This window comes from Homo sapiens, chromosome 12 (genome assembly GCF_000001405.40).
Source record: "Homo sapiens chromosome 12, GRCh38.p14 Primary Assembly".
NCBI classification, from domain to species: domain Eukaryota; kingdom Metazoa; phylum Chordata; class Mammalia; order Primates; family Hominidae; genus Homo; species Homo sapiens.
In genome coordinates this window covers 70,814,593-70,831,792 of record NC_000012.12, presented here as the reverse complement: position 1 = coordinate 70,831,792, position 17,200 = coordinate 70,814,593, and the positions used below count along the sequence as shown (strand labels likewise).

General features: G+C 39.5%; 1 protein-coding gene across 3 annotated transcripts in view, besides 1 other annotated feature; it reads left to right on the top strand.

The window, feature by feature from the left end:
• The window catches only part of PTPRR (protein tyrosine phosphatase receptor type R), a 282,666-nt gene that overhangs the window by 88,946 nt on the left and 176,520 nt on the right, over positions 1 to 17,200 (top strand). The window lies entirely within an intron of this gene.
• Positions 8,358 to 8,558: a silencer, noted in NCBI's record as "peak1808 fragment used in MPRA reporter construct". NCBI's record gives its function as "represses an SCP1 promoter by STARR-seq MPRAs in K562 erythroleukemia cells {active_cell/tissue: K562}" and the evidence as "EXISTENCE:reporter gene assay evidence [ECO:0000049][PMID:32103011]".

Below are 17,200 nucleotides of genomic sequence, written 5' to 3'. Positions count from 1 at the left end.
AGTCAGAGGCTATAAATATGACTTGAGATAGGAAAGGCTTTCTTAGGAAATGAGAAAGCTTTATGTGGCTACATGCAGGTGAGCCAGAAGGCAGGCCTGAAATGATAGCTTGCCATCTGTCCTCATGTGCTTGCTCTTCAGAACACCAGCCAAAACGAAAATGGTAACACTTGTGTGGGCTGCTCTATTTTGTAGCATTTGTAACAACAGAACACTTCACCCAGAATGAAGCCAGCACATTCCATGGGTGATTAGATGGGTTGGACCCCTGATTTTCTCTGATTATGTCTTCTCCACCTGCTGGCTGATTGAATCACCTTTCAATTTTCTTACCAGCCTGGCTCCTCATTTACACAGAATGCCAAAATGATATTTGAAGAGCTTAACTGAGCCTTTACCTAGGCTATTGATTGATGATTATGACTGCTAGTATAGTAAGACTGCTGGGTTCAAAATAGTGAAGTAGTACCTTCTGATAAATTGCCAATGAAGTGATTTTAACCTAACTCCTACCACCAAATTCACAAATGAAAATGAATACTCAATTAATAGATTGAACATTTATTCTTTGCAACATAATATGAGTTTTTTTGTTGTTCAATCAAGGAAATAATAGGGGTAAAAGTGTAAACTCTCTTTGTTCAAATTCCTACTCACTAATGTTCTAAGGAACTCAAGCATGTTATGTAAGCTCTCTGTGCCACAGTTTCCTCATCTGTAAAATGGGAATAATAACAGCTCCTTCTTGTGTTGAGTTGTCATGAGGATTTAAAGAGCTAATACAATAAAGTCTTTTAAGAGTGGCACATATATTGGCTATTATCAACACTGTATATGTCAGGCATTGTGCTAGGTACTGAATATTCGTTGGTAAATAAAATAGGTAGAGTCCTTCCCTTCATGGACCTTAGACTAGTGGCTGGCTATAAAAAGTGTAAGATATTTCATAGCTGCTTTGATTCAACAATTTCAGGCAGGTCATTTGCATGCATAGAGAACTCAGAGCCCTGATTAGCAGCTGCTCCTTTTTTCTCTGGCAAAGAGATCATATCCCTGCCCAAAGATATCCTCCAGCAGAAGCACAAAGTGTTGACAGCCTTGTCAGGTGACTGTGTTTCCGATGCAGAGGTGCTGGTTTGGCAATGGTGTTGTCCATCACTTTTATAGCTTAAAATATAATGAAAGCTGCTTGAGCAACCTTGCTAGATTGTACTATTGTTCATGCATATTAATTGCCCTTTCCTAGAAGAATACTGATGACAGACTTTGCCATGTGACTTTGGTCACAAAACGGTAGTGGATTGACATTTGTCATTTCCAGGCAGGAGCTTTAACAGCCAAGGCACAGCTAACCATACTCCTTTGCCCTGCCTTTTATGTATTTATTTTAAGTATTTATTGAGTGCCTATTATGGCAGCATGTCAAGGTGGAGCCTCCCTCAGACTGGGGCAGTGAGCAGAACTCCCTGTGGACATGGAGTGCGTGAGTGAGAAATATCCTTTTATTGTAAAGGCTACTAAGACTTTGAGATCATTTCTTAATGCAGCATAATCTATTTTATTTTAACTCACACATCAGAAACAGGTAAATCTGGTTGCTTTGATGGCCACAAAACATCAACAAATACATCAATATTTCTACCCCAGGCCCTAATACTGCCGCAGGAGCACGCTTTTTTGTTTGTTTTATGTCCTTGGTGGATCAGGTCTTGCTGTTCCCTTGGAGGGAATGCAGAGTAGGAGAATGAGTGCTGGACCTAGAGCCAAACTCTAAGACCCAACTCTCCCATTATTTAGCTTCATTATATTCAGCAAATCAATTAATCAATTGGAGCCTCAATCTTATTTGGTAAAACAGGAAGAGTAACACCAAAGTATCTGCTCAATGTATCCCAAATTGTTCTTAGGAAGCACCTTATAAAGCTTGATACTAATGTAGAAAATCATTTCTAGTTCTTATAACCTCATAGAAAGTCCTTACTTTCTATGCACCTATGAGATCCTCAGCCAACACCATTGATTGACTGACAGACATGACTGCAAAAGGCAAGACCAACCTCCTTAGAAGGTTAGTCTGTGAGTGGGAGGTCAAAGTTCTCAACTGGTATATCCCTAATTGAAAAACACTTCTCAGTCCAAAAGTGCCATGCAGAGAGAAGAGACTTGATGATAACATCCCTTGGTTTTTCAAAGGACGCATTTTCTTATGGCAAATAATACTACAATAGTCTTTTAACTGCATTGTCTCAGGGAGAAAAACTTAGATCCCACCATCAATGAACACAGAATTCTGATATAAAAGTACATAAATAAATGTATTTATTCCCAAGTTATATTCACAGATGCTTCATCATCTCACACAGTGGTTTGCAATAGCCTGAGCATCTTTCCCAGCCTAGAAATCCCAGGGCAAAGCAGGGTCAGGGTCAGTAAGAATGTCCTTCCTTACTATTCTTCCTCAAGTAGACCGCTTTTCAATCTTCCTTCCAGGAAATCTTACTGGACAGCATTATTTATTTATTTATTTATTTATTTATTTATTTCTCTTTCCTTCCTTCCTTCCTCTTTCCTTCTTTCCTTCTTTCCTTCAATTTTCAAGTATTCATTGAATGCCTATTATGTGCCACTGTTCTAGACACTGAGATATGGAATAGACAAGTTACTGCCCACATGGAGCTTACCTGTCTGAGGGGAACTGATGTTTCATGTGTCCATAGTTCCCTATGCATGTCTCCATCACAGTCCACAGTCTCTGTGGACTATATTCATAGGTTTAGAGTACAAGATCCTTGAAAATATGAAAGAAGCATCTCTCATTAGACTTTGTATCCCCGGCACCTTGCCTGCTGCCTGGAATATAGAAGGTTTGCAGTAAATGTTTATTTCAAATGAGTAAATATCATGAATTAGAAGACCTGGCTTTCATGTTGAGTCCCCCGCCCCACAAATGTGAGAAATAAAGGATTTAGTCACACGACACTATCAACATTAAGTGGTTTATTCTGAGAAATTTATAACAAGACAAGTTGTTTTAGGTGCTGCTTTGCATTTGTTGGCAGACATAGAGGAATCAGAGTTCGAATACATTCAGAAAGCTAACCACATTCTTCTAGCTAATAAGAATCGATATGAATCACTGCATATAATATGCATAAGAAAGTACTACATACTGAGAAATAATAACATGGCCAAGGGTAAGCCTGGGAATGACTATGGCCAGCTGAGTAACCTCTCTGCCTTCCTACAGCCTGTGGTTTATGAGTCTTGTGGAAATGTGCAAAGAGAAAAATGAAGCCAAAATGCATCTAATTCTCTTTCCATTTAAAGATATTTTCTTCTCCCACTTACCCCATTCCCAAGAGAGGGCTACTTAGATGTAATCTTTGAATATTGCAGGAGTTAGTATAACTATATGTGGACTGAAGAATGTGTTTTTTCTGTAAGACAATATTAGTTCAGGGGCTGAAGAACCAAAACGACAAGTGAGAAGTTCCCAAAGGACAAAGGAGCAGATCAAAGGGCAAGAAAAGGAATGTGGAGACAAATTTCTGAGGCTTATTATGTCCTTAACACTGTGTTTAACTACTAAAGGGGACAAGACAGTTTTATTTATCAAATCTATTTATTAGATACTGTTACAGACTGAATATGTATGTCCCTCAGAATGTCATATGTTGAAACCTAATCCCCAATGTAGGGACTTTGGTAGGTGATCAAGTCATGAGAGCAGAACCTTCATGACCGGGATTAGCGCCCTTATGAAAGAAATTCTGGGCCAGGCATGGTGGCTCACGCCTGTAATCCCAACACTTTGGGAGGTTGAGGCAGACAGATCACTTGAAGTCAGGAGTTCAAGTGAGACTGGCCAACATGGTGAAACCCGTCTCTACTAAAAACACAAAAAATTAGCTGGGTGTAGTGGTGGGCGCCTGTAGTCCCAGCTACTCGGGAGGCTGAGACAGGAGAATTGCTTGAACCCAGGAGGAGGTGGAGGTTGCAGTGAGCCGAGACTGTGCCACTGCACTCCAGCCTGGACAACAGAGCAAGACTCCATCTCAAAAAAAAAAAAAAAAAAAAAAAAAAGCCAGGTGTGGTGGCAGGCACCTATAATCCCATCTACTCAGGAGGCTGAGCCAGGAGAATTGCTTGAACCTGGAAGAAAAAGGTTGCAGTGAGCCGAGATCATGCCACTGCCCTCCAGCCTGGGTAACATAGTGAGACTCTGTCAAAAAGAAAAAAAAAAAGAAAGAAAGAAAGAAAGAAAAAAGAAAAGATATTCTGGAGAGCTCCCTTACCCCCTCCACTGTGTGAGGACCCAGCAAGAAGACAACTGTCTATGAACGAGGAACTGGGCCTTTACCAAACACTGACTCTACCAGCACTTTGATCTAGATCTTCCAGCTTCCAGAACTCTGAGAAATAAATTTCTGTTATTTTTAAGCCACTCAGTCTAGAGCAGTTTGTTATATCAGTCCAAAATGATCAAGACGGATACCTACTATTCATTTATTAAGTACCTGCTATGTGCTAGACACTATCCTAGCAGCTGGAGAGACATGGGCCCTGCCCCACTGTAACTTATATTCCAGTGAGGAAAACAGAAAATAAACAACTAAACCTGTAAATAAGGTGATTATAGATCATGATAAATGCCATGAAGGTGATATTAGAGGGCCATGCCCAAGAAAGTATCTGGGGAGGGGATAGTGCTAGCTGAGGTTTGGCTGTAAGAAAAGGTGTCCTGTGGAGCTAACATCTGAATCCAAGTCTGAACCATAAGAAGGAGCCCACTGTAAATGGCTTCAAGTGGAAGAACATTCTAGGAGGGTGGAAGAGCAAGGCCAAAACCCCTGAGGCAGGTGCAGGTTTGGCATGTTCACAGGACAGAAAGCAGGCCAGTGTCACTGGGAGGCAGTGATTAAAGGGTAGAGGAGGAGGGATCAGATCCAATAGAGCCTTGAGGATGAGGCAAGGATTTTAGATTTTCTTCTGGAGCTAGTAAAAGTCACTGGAGAGTCTTGGCAGAGTATTGACATTATCCGGAGCAAAGGACTAGTGAACGCCATACATGTTTTGCAGCCAGTCCTATCTCAGAGTATTCATGTCATTAGTTTCTGTTGAATATATTTTCAAATAAAAATCAAAGCACATGGATTGACAAGTTTACACGTGCTTCTAGGGTGACCAGGACAGAATATTTTAGATTAGAACTGTTTGGGGAAAACCTTGTCTCTAATTGTGCCTAGCTGTATGCATCCTGTCATGGGGCTGGATTCTTGGTTCTATATGATTTATAGCAAGTGTTTCCTAAGTGCTATTGAGTAGCAATTTCAAGGAGTTCCCAGAAGGGGTTGGGAGCAGATAAGGCAGCAGTGCTCATTAGCACAAGTTGTGCTCAGCATGAGCCCCATCTCTGTCACTGGGCCGCAATGAGATGGGTGTAAATGCCCAGCCCTTCCCACCCTCTTCTCACCTTTCCCACTATCACCGTTCCATTTGCACCTCACTGCTTCTCTCCACACCCTATTAGCACTATTCCATTTCCGGATTAATTGGAGGAAAGGTGTTAACAAAATTTCAGCTTTCTTCTCAGTAATAATCTAGGATTTTGATAACACTGATATTTCTCTTGCTTTCCTACCCCTCCCTATCCTCCTTCTTTCTCTCCCTTCTTCTTTCCCTCTCTCCATTCCTCCTTCTCTAGCAGAGGCTCACTCAGAACTCCAGAAAGTCTTATATTAAAAATGTTTAAAATCCCCTGTCATAGAGAAATTTAGTTTCTGAAAAGATCAATAATCAATTTATATGAATCATGAGATGAAGACTTATAAAAGCTTAAAAATATGTTATAAAAAGAGTTGTGATATGTTTTCTAGCCCAAAAACAGCAGGATTGCTACAATACCAGCTGTAACGTGGGAGCCACTTTGCCTTACGTTGTTATTTTATATCCATTGCTTCTTCCCCCAATTTATTGAAGACTTTTTTCATACCAGGCACAGTGCTAGATAACTGAGGGCGATATAAGATGGTAAAGACACACTTCCTGCCCTTTAGAAGTAAACATCCAATGAGGCGACAGGGAGCCCACAAGGGAGCACCGTGCAACAGAGTCTGTAACAAGGATATTAGAGAGGTAACACTGAGGAATGAGTGGGAGAGTAATTCCAACCCAGGCCTTGAGGAGGTCTAATAGAGGGAAAGGGATTTGAGAAAAGACCAGATGACTCCATCTCTAAATGCTTTAAGGCAGGCCCAGGCCTCTTTTCTCCATTAGCACTAAATCCACATTTTGGGTGGTAGAGGGCTGATTCTGGCTCTGTGGTATCAAGAGGTATGTGTTTGGATTTGGATGCAGTTTGCACATGCAGCAGGATTGTGTAGTGATTGTGAGTGGGCACTCTTGGGCCAGGCTGTCTGGATTGCAATCCTGCCTCCGTCACTTACTCTGTAAGTGAATTTTGACAAGTAACTTAACATTTATTTATTTTTTTATTTTTTATTTTTATTTTTTTGAGACTAGAATCTTGCTCTGTCGCCCAGGCTGGAGTGTAGTGGCGCTATCTTGGCTCACTGCAACCTCCACCTCCTGGGTTCAAGCGATTCTCTTGCCTCAGCCTCCCGAGTAGTTGGGACTACAGGCCCACCACGCCTGGCTAATTTTTGTATTTTTAGTACAGACAGGGTTTCACCATATTGGCCAGGCTGGTCTCGAACTCCGGACCTTGTGATCCACCCCCTTCAGCCTCCCAAAGTGCTGGGATTACAGGCGTGAGCCAACGCGCCCAGCCTAACTTAAGATTTCTACTCAGCTTTCTTGACTGTACATGGAGCAACGATATTGCCTACCTAGCAGGGTTACTGTGAGGAGTATGTAAAGCACTTAGAATAGTCCATGAAATCTTAATAAGCACTTAAGATGTTCATGATTGTTAATTCTAGCAAGCCCACTGTCAAAGCAGTATGTGAGAGTCAGCTTTGTTTAGTCCCGAAGGAATGGTGATTTTTTTCATCTTTACTCTTACACAGATATCCCTCCGCCCCCACCAACCCCATCCCGACAAAGGCATAGCCAAATATTTGCTCTCTAGCACTGGAAGGATAAGGAAAGCAACACGAACCAGCAGCTGACACCACCAGACACACTGTGGCTTCTCCCTGTACAGGCAACTACTAAAATCAGGGTCATTCAAGAGAATGCTGATCCATTTGGGAACCAAGCATTGTCTGTAATCCAGGCTGAAATGTAGGTGGGATGGTATTTTCACATGTATGTTAATGCCCTTTTGAGACAATCAAATACAATTTTATTTAATTCCTTCACAGTAGCCTTTAGCTACCATGGTTTCTTGATGGAGATGACAAATTTTATAGTATGATTATTTCTTACATTTTAAAAAAAAATTAAAGGATTGTCCTGCTCAAAATTATGTATTCCTCTGATTGAAAAAGTATTTGTTTCTACTTGAGAAGCATTTACCAAAAAAGAAAAGTATTTGTTAAGTGATTACTATATGGTAGGTGCCATGCTAGGCTTTAAGGACATAAGAGCGAATACAATACAGCCCCTCTATTAAAAGGTTTATAATTACGCAACTACAACACAGCATGCTGAGCTGCTGTGTAAGGACTAAGCGATGTTCCAAGGACACAGAAGAAGAGCGCCTAACCTGGGGCGGTTTCCCAATAAGTCTGTCTAACGTTGGGACCTCTGGCCCAGAGTAGTGTATCAATGCTAAGGGTTCTGTGAACCGTTGTTGAGGAAGGAGGGGTTTCTTTTCCCAGGCTGAGAAGAACCCTGACTCATACCTTCCCCTTGTGTCTCCCTCACTGCTCAATTGCCACCACTACTTGCCCCTCCTCAGAGCCTCACTACCCACCACTATGGCCCCTTAGACAGTTGAAGTAGGGCCCACAGGCCGAGTAGCACATCCCGCTTACAAGACCCAGGAGCAGCCCCTTTCTATCTAGTTCGGCCCTCACTGGCCCTCTCTTGGCTGCTGCTGGCCCTGCCTTCCTGCCTCTGAATCCTCCGTGTGCTCCTAACTCTCTCAGACAAGGACCTGTCCCTTGGCAGGCAGCTGCCACCTCCCTAAGCAAGGTCAGCCCTTTGTTCTCTTCCAGAGAACTAGGCCATCTTTCTTGCTGCCCCACACTGCAGGAACTGTAAGGAAGGGAGAGGGAGCTCCAAGCTAAGCCAAGAGAGTTAGGAGAGGAACATAATAAGTACAAGTTGTTAAAAAACAAAACAAAACAAAAAAAACACACAGTAACAAAAAATAAGTGTAGGGCACTCTGGGAATATAGAGGAGGAGCTGATAATTCTGACACTGTTTCAGAATTCGATTCAGGGCAGTTTTACTTCTAATCACTTGCTCTACTTTCCATGAGATACAGTGGTCAGCTAGGCTGGATGCTTCCATGTCACTTGACAGCAGTGTCCAGGTTTCTACAGAGCAGATATTTCTGTCACTGCTCTGCCGTACTGTGGGTCAATGTGTTTCAGGAGCCTGCCATCCTTTCTTTGATCAATCTCTTTTGTTTCACTCTTATTCTAGTTTAACTAAAAGGCAGTCTTAAACTGCTGGGTAATCTTGTAGAACCAGTCGTGTTATTTCAGAAAGAAAAACGACAACTCTGTGTGTGTGTGTGTGTGTGTGTGTGTGTGTGTGTGTGTGTGTGTGTCAGAGAGAGAGACAGCAAGAGAGAAGAGAAAAGAGAGAGAGAGAACTTTGTGTTGCTGAGGGAAAGGCAAAGAAAGCAAAACTTAAGGGAAAAGGAGATAAGCCCCCAAAATGTTTGGTTTCACTTGACTTTTTTTTTAATTGGGCTTTAGAGGAAAGGGTTCTACCCAAGGATGAGAAATGCACACCCAAAAAAAGGTCTGAAAAAGGATTATGCCCTATGACCTTAATTTTATTAACATTACGCTCTAATCTACCAATAAATTAAGAGATGAGAGGACATTTCAATAAATTATGGTCGTATGAAGTCCATGTCTTTTCCATAGCGGCAACTTTCTACAGGCTAAAAGAGCATTTTAAAATGCTTTCTGTTGGATGCATTTATTGGCAACCCTGCCTTGATATTGATGGATAGAGTGATTTAATTTCCTTCCTCTGCATTCATTCAAATCCTGCCTGGAAGGTGGGAGGAGTTATTTATATAAATGTGAGCTGGGAGGGAGACGGCTCCATGGCTTGCCATCTAATTTCATGCAGAATCCTGGCACCTCTTGCTGCTTCCCCACCATGTGTCTGATACCAGAGACACAAAATTATGAATAAATGAATAATTGGCTGAGCCTCTACAGGGCATGACACATGTTTTTCATGAATATTATAATTATTATTTTTTATTTGAGAGAAAATTAAACCTGAGTTCTGGCATTAATTTCCACTGTCTTCCTCTGGCAGCACAAATTATTTGTTTCTACAAATGCAGAAAAACGTAGCTCTCTGTGGTATGTTTTGCAAGCCTAATCCATTTTCTAGGGAAATCCTTGCTGTCTGCTGTTGTTACCATTCACTTGTATGGATTCCAATTGATAATTCCAGACTGTTCAGGTTTTATACCACTTTCTGTGTTCTCTGTTCTCCATGTTAGGTTAAAGTGTCATATGTTCAATACAGCCTTTCCTTTGCATTTTCTGCAACATCCAACACCATGCCTTGTATACAGTGATGCTCATTAAATGCTTATTAAATAGGTGAGAACTTCCTGGAATGTTAAGGTTGATCTTTCTACCAGCATTTGGAATTCTACACATTAACCACAGAAATCAAACATGTCAACAAATACTTCCCTCACTTAATAAATACATAGGTTTCGGCCGGGCGTGGTGGCTCATGCCTGTAATCCCAGCACTTTGGGAGGCCGAGGCAGGCAGATCATGAGGTCAGGAGATCAAGACCATCCTGGCTAACACAGTGAAACACCATCTGTACTAAAAATACAAAAAATTAGGCAGGCGTGGTGGCGGGCGCCTGTAGTCCCAGCTACTTGGGAGGCTGAGGCAGGAGAATGGCGTGAACCCAGGAGGCGGAGCTTGCAGTGGTGAGCCGAGATCGTTCCACTGCACTCCAGCCTGGGCGACAGAGTGAGACTCCATCTCAAAAAAATAAATACATACGTACATACATACATACATAGGTTTCTCCCCACGCTCTCCCTCACAGAGTAAGCTCCAGCTGCACTAGCCTTTCTGCTAGTTCTTAAGCACGCCAAACTTATTCCTGCCTGAGGTCAAGGCAATAAAAGAGTGATCGCAGCCGGGCACAGTGGCTCACACCTGTAATCCCAGCACTTTGAGAGGCCGGAGTGGGCAGATCACAAGGTCAGGAGTTCGAGACCAGCCTGGCCAAAGTGGTTAAACCTCATCTCTACTAAAAATACAAAAAAATTAGCTGGGCGTGGTGGTGTGTGCCTGTAATCCCAGCTACTCAGGAGGCTGAGGCAGGAGAATCACTTGTACCCGGGAGGCGGAAGTTTCAGTGAGCCAAGATTGTGCCACTGCACTCCAGCCTGGGGGACAGAGTGAAACTCTGTCCTAAAAAAAAAAAAAAAAAAAAAAAAAAAAAGCAGTGATCCCTTTCAACATGTTTTGCATTTATATGGGCAATATTGACAAATGTATCTCTTGAAAGAAGCACATCTCCTTTCTTGGAGGACATCGTCCTATATGGACAACCAGTCTAGTATTTTTTCTTCATTAATCTTTTTGCATTCACATTTACTTTGGAGAGCTAAAGAAAAATTTATTTTGACCCTTGTTAAAACAGTAAGAAAAACTTTATTCAGGACTACTGCATTTGATGTCAAGACAATTGTGAAAGATGAGAGAAATTGTGCTTAACTCTGAATACAACAAAGAGAGTTGAGGACTTATACCCAGCAAGGAGAGTGAAGGGTCAGTGAATAGTAAATTACTAAGAGGAGATAGGAAAAGTGGAGTGGTGTGATTCTTGCTAAAACAACAGGACTCTTGCTGAAGGCAGGCTAAGGACTCAAAGGTAAAGAATGAGGAACTTGATCAGAAAATGAAAGTGATAAGATACCAAGTGGGGATTCTCTCTAAACTGGCTTAACAGGATTCTTGCTGAAACTCCTCTTGCCTGGCCAAAGGCAGAGCCCAAGGATGAGACCTCATTGAAAAAACAGTGGCTGGGCGCAGTGGCTCACGCCTGTAATCCCAGCACTTTGGGAGGCCAAGATGTGCAGATCACGAGCTCAGGAGATCGAGACCACCCTGGCTAACATGGTGAAACTCCGTCGCTACTAAAAATACAAAAAATTAGCCAGGCGTGGTGGCGGGCGCCTGTAGTCCCAAGTACTCGGGAGGCTGAGGCAGGAGAATGGCGTGAACTCGGGAAGCGGAGCTTGCAGTGAGCCGAGATCGCGCCACTGCACTCACTCCAGCCTGGGCGACAGAGTGAGACTCCATCTCACCAAAAAAAGAAAAAAGAAAAAAGAGCTCAGGGGAGCCTGTCTGAAGTTTTATCAAGAAGAGAGTCTCTGTTAGGAATCACTCTCAGTCTTTTCCCAGACTATTGAGTATCATTTTCTGCCAAGACAATAGAACAGAGTGGTGTCTAGTGATTATTTTTAAGCAAGTCATTATTATGGATTAAATTATAAATGCCAAGCCTTGTTGTTGATGTATGCATAAATAAACTCACCCCTCCATACATTTCTGCGCACAGCCAGTATGCTTTCATAAAAAATGTTACATTTCTTTCATATTATTTCAACCTATTTCTAATATTCTTTATCCCAAATATAAATATAGCTTTTTATTCTTTCTTTAAATTTTTTGGCTTAAGGTTTCAAAAAATAGTTGATCTTTTCTCACATTTCATAAAATTAGATTGTCATAATTGAAGAACTTCTCTTCATAGCTGTAGTTTAGACTGAACACAGAAAATATCTTTACATTATTCTATGATGTAGAAAGTGTACACATTTATATTATTGGACAATTTAATGCCATTGTACAAATAAGTTTGACCAAAAGCAATGCATAAAGAGGCAATGTGTATTCTCGGCCATCCTCCCTTTCTGAGTCTCTGTATTCTGTTCCTTCCAGGATTCCACCCAATTCTTCCATTCTATGTCCAAATTACCCTTGATCTTCCCAAACTGCTTTTTCTTTAAAATCCTCTTCTAGATATCATGAAGACCAAAACACCTGAATAAAGAGATTTCCATGAGAGAATAGTGACTTACTGGTCTACATCTTATGAGACATTTTCATTCTATAGTAGTCTCAGGCAATGTGTAATAAATTGAAGTGAAAATTTTGAGCAGATGGAATCTTCCAGCAGCCCCTCAAATTACAGCTCATTGATTTGTAATTTTGACTCCATTTCTAACCCTGACCATAAATACTTTGCAAAACATATGAAGCCCATAAATGCACAATTTGACCATACCTCTATGAGCCAATGTCTATTTTTGCTCTTTATTCTTTCTTGTTTGTTTGTTTGTTTTGAGACAGAGTCTCACTCTGTCACCCAGGCTGGAGCGCAGTGGTGCAATCTCAGCTCAGTGCAACCTGCACCTCCTCATGCCTCAGCCTCCGGAGTAGCTGGGACTACAGGCATGCGCCACCACACCTGGCTAATTTTTGTATTTTTAGTAGAGATGGGGTTTCACCATGTCGACTAGTCTGGTCTCAAACTCCCGATCTCAAGTGATCTGCCTGCCTTGGCCTCCCAAAATGCCGGGATTACAGGTGTGAGCCACCACACCTGACCTTCTCTTTATTTTTTACCCTATTTTACTCCTCCTCTTCTGTGGAAGATTGTGACCTCCTTGTAGACAGGGTTCATGCTTCTTCATTTGTGTACATGTTTGTAGAATTTAATCAAATTACAAGTTTGGATAAGGCTGTTCACTTTTATTCAAAAGTAGAGAAAAGACAAAAAATCTAAAATTGATCTTTGGCTTACCATGATTTTTTTTTGGAATAGATACCTGTGAAGTGAGTTTTTAAATCATTATTTATTTCTTTTATTTTTTTCTGAAAATATCTTTAATATAAATATCTTAAAATTGATTGAATATCTGTTACCTTTAAAGTGATTTGACACAGATTTTTGGTAAAGTATTCTATAAGATAGAATGAAACAGGCCTCTAAGGCAACATGACAACTATGAGCCAACCATGACTTAAATCACTGTAAGACATAAAGAAACTTCATAATTTTCAATCATATTAGCCTCATTCTACATAACTCCTTTCAAGATTCTCAAGTTCAATCTTCTTCTGCAATGATCTCAAATAATTTTCAAATAATATTAGATTCTAAATAATTTCAAGCTCTCTGAAAAGTGTGAGAATAATGCTCTCATATTCCCATAGTACGCTTATATTCATCTAGATTCCCCATTGTTAATGTTTTACATTGATGTTATCAGCTACCTATCCTTCTCTCTCTTCTTCTTTCTCTTTCTCAATAAATAAATAGTTGATAGATGATAGATAGAGAGAGAGGCACATATCTGTGTGTGTATGTCCTGTCTCACAAATTTATTTTCTTTTTTTTTTTTTTTTTTTGAGACGGAGTTTCACTTTGTCACCCAGGCTGGAGTGCAATGGCATGATCTTGGCTCACTGCAACCTCTGCATTTCAAGAGCTTGAACTGCCTCAATCCTGGGTTCAGGAGATTCTCCTGCCTCAGCCTCCTGAGTAGCTAGGATTACAGGCAGGCACCACCACATCCGGCTAATTTTTGTATTTTTAGTAGAGATGGGGTTTCACCATGTTGGTCAGGCTGGTTTCGAGCTCCTGACCTCATGATCCGACCTCCTCGGCCTCCCAAACTGCTGGGATTACAGGCGTGAGCCGCTGCACCTGGCCAACCAAATTGACTTTCTAGTATGTGGTAGAAAGGCAATAAAGTTATAAACTAATTTTAAAAAGATAATTTCAGAAAGCTATTAAAGCTATAAATGGTTTAGGTCAAATAAACTGAGTGACATCTTAAGTTATATGTGCATGTGCTTGTGGGTCTGTATCAAATGTATCTCTTATTGACAAACATATCTCGTGAAGTATTCACATCTCCTTTCTTAGAGGATGTGGCACTGTCTGAACAACAGCCTGGTGTTCTTCAGAACAATCATTTTGAACCGGCATTTCCTTTGGAATCACTCTCAATCTTTTCTCAGCCTGTTCAACAAGACTGTGTATAAAAGTAGTAGAGTGGCACCTAATAGTTAGCTCTTGAGCAGATCATTCAACATGGTTTAAGTTGTGAATTTTGACTCAAAAATAGATGAAAATTAACTACTTGAGAATGTGTTACAGATATTATGGCTCTTTACCTCTAAGTAGTTCAGTGTATGGTTCCTAAGAACAAGACCATTCTCTTTTATATCCATAAAACAATTATTAAAATAAGGAAAATAACGTTGATACAATACTATTACTTAATATACAGACCTTATCCATTGGCATCTTTCTCTATTCTATCTTTTGTAGCAACAAAAAGGAAAAAGTCTGCAAATATTTGATTTTTACTTAATTTTTCATATATTTTAAGCTCTTTAAGTAACTTTTAAAACTTTTAAAACACATTAAAGTGTTTGTGGGCTGCCATGTATCAAACTTTAACATAGGTGTTACTTTTTTAAAATAGTTTAAAGTGACCTTAAAGTGTCTTCTGCTACCTTATTGAATTAAAAAGTATAACACATAATAGTATTCATTCATTTGTTCACCCATCTATTTAGCAGTACTAGTAGTGTTGGAGATCTATATAGCACTGAGACAGGATGAGACATTAACAGGATGAGATGACCTGTTAATAGACTGTGATCATTCTATAAATATTGCAGAATTCATAGAAATAAACCTAGAAGCTGAGGCTGATAAAATACTACAGCTGTCCATAATCATTCACTTAAAATCGAATCATCTTCATCAATTTCTGGATGATTTTGTTAAAATCAAACATTGTAACTTAGAAGTTGAAAAACATAGTTTCTATTTTAAAATATTTTAAATAAATACTGTTTTTCTCTTGTTATTGAGATTTTACATAAGATTTTCTATTAAAAAAAGATTCTGTTTCTAATAATGCTTAAAGATAACTTGTCTAGACCTGTGGTTTCTGGATGTTTTTGGTCACACACCACATATGTTTAAAAAAAATTTTATATCTCTAATGCATATGTGCTGGTTTATTTATAAAAGTATTACTAGTATACTAGTATTACATGTTTATTATAAAACTTACCAAAAATAAAATTTTAAGGAGCCAAATAAAAATAAATATAAATAAATTTTGAATGTTTTTTTTCACTTCAATGAATTATCTTGAACAATCCTTGGGGTTCTTGCACCATGCTTTCCTTGGGCCAGGACTTATCTTCAAGGCTGAACTATTTTATGTTTCATTATCTATTCCAGGTTATTGTTTTATGGTGGTGACTACTACTATAGTACATAGACCTGTTTAAAGGTCATATTTTTCTTGAGGAATGTGCATTCATTTTCATATTTGCATATACTCCTAGGTAAGGATCATTTTCCTGGGGTGTACTCATTTATTTCATATTTGTTTATAAATATTTGTGCACCACAGTGTGACTCTTACATTTTTTGCTTGTCATAAAGTTTTAGATAAGACACTTCAGGAAACATTTGTGCTAAAGGTAAAGAATAATGAATTAAAGAGGTGACTAAATGGAAAACTATTTTTACCGTAAACAATGCCACTCCCTCAGTCCTCCTAAAGGATGATTTCACACATTAAGAAGACGTAGATAACTCAGGAAAGAGTGTTTCTTTTAAATTAGTTGTAATTTCATGTTCATCGCAATATGTGACAAGGAAATAGGGAAAAAACAGCTAAAAGCTATATATGTGTCTGTCAAACACTTGTAAAATTGTTTAGGCCATAGCACTTGGAAGTTAACTAGATTATCAGCTGTCTGAGGCCAGTGTTGGTGCTCTTCATTTTTATGTGTCCTAATGTGCTTTTGTAGAAATAAGAGCTCAAATGTGTGTTAAATGAATGTTAGTGAGTTAATCAATGAATGAGACCTTACATCATTTTCCAACTTCAAAACATATAATTTCAGTCAGAAGTAACAACCTAAATGCTTAACACATAGAAGCTACCAGAAGTTTTATATTCTCTTTGAAGTCTCCATTTTCATGATGCTAAATCTGTCCCCCCAAGTAGTCTCATACATCCTTACTTTCCTCACCCTCCTTATATTAACGGTAAACTCAATTATGACAGTCTGACTTCTGACATTTTAAAACCGTTCGGTATATCAGGTGCTGTATTACAGTTTTCTTTACATTTCTACATTAGGTTCATTGAACTTCTTGCATATGTGGTTATAAGACTTTTATTAAATTTATAGATTTTTCATCCATTATGTCTTAAAATATACTTAAGAACTCCCCCCCACCAATTTATTAGGCCACTTAAGCTTGTCCCACAACTAACTGAGGCTTTGTTCATATTCTTTTTCAATCTTTTTTCTGTTTCATTTTGGAAAGTTTCTATTGCTGTGTCTTCAAGCTTACCAATCCCTTCTTCTCCAGTGTCTAATCAGCTGTTAATCCTGTCCCCTGCATTTTTTATTCTAGACATTGCAATTTTTTTTCTAGAAGTGACACGTGGGTTTTTTTTTTTTTTTGATATCTTATCTCTCCTTAGAATGTTCAGACTTTCTTCTACTTATTAAGTGTATGGAGCGTAGTTGTAATTACTGTTTTAATGCCCTTATCTACAAATTCTATCATCTATATCATTTCTGGTCTGTTTTCTATTTTTTTTATTATTTTCTCTGCATTATTGGTTTTATTTTCCTAAATCTTTGCATATCTGGGACTTTTTATTGAATTCCAAACATTGGGAATTGTACCTTGTTGGGTGCCAAATATTTTTATGCCTTCAAATATTTGGAGCTTTGTTAAAATTTTTAATTATGTTTCCAAGTAATTGAGTTACTTAAAACCAGTTTAATTCTTTTGAGACTTACATTAAACTTTGCTAGGTGGAACCAGAGCAGTTTACTCTAAAGCTGAGTTGTCAAACTACAGCCTAGAAGCTACCTACATTCAGCCTACAGTTTGTTTTCATGTCTTGAAGGCATCTCTAAGCACTGTGAAACACAGAGACAAAGCCAAAGCCGGGCCGGCCCCCTCTACTCCCAGAGCCTGCTAGCCTGCTAGCAG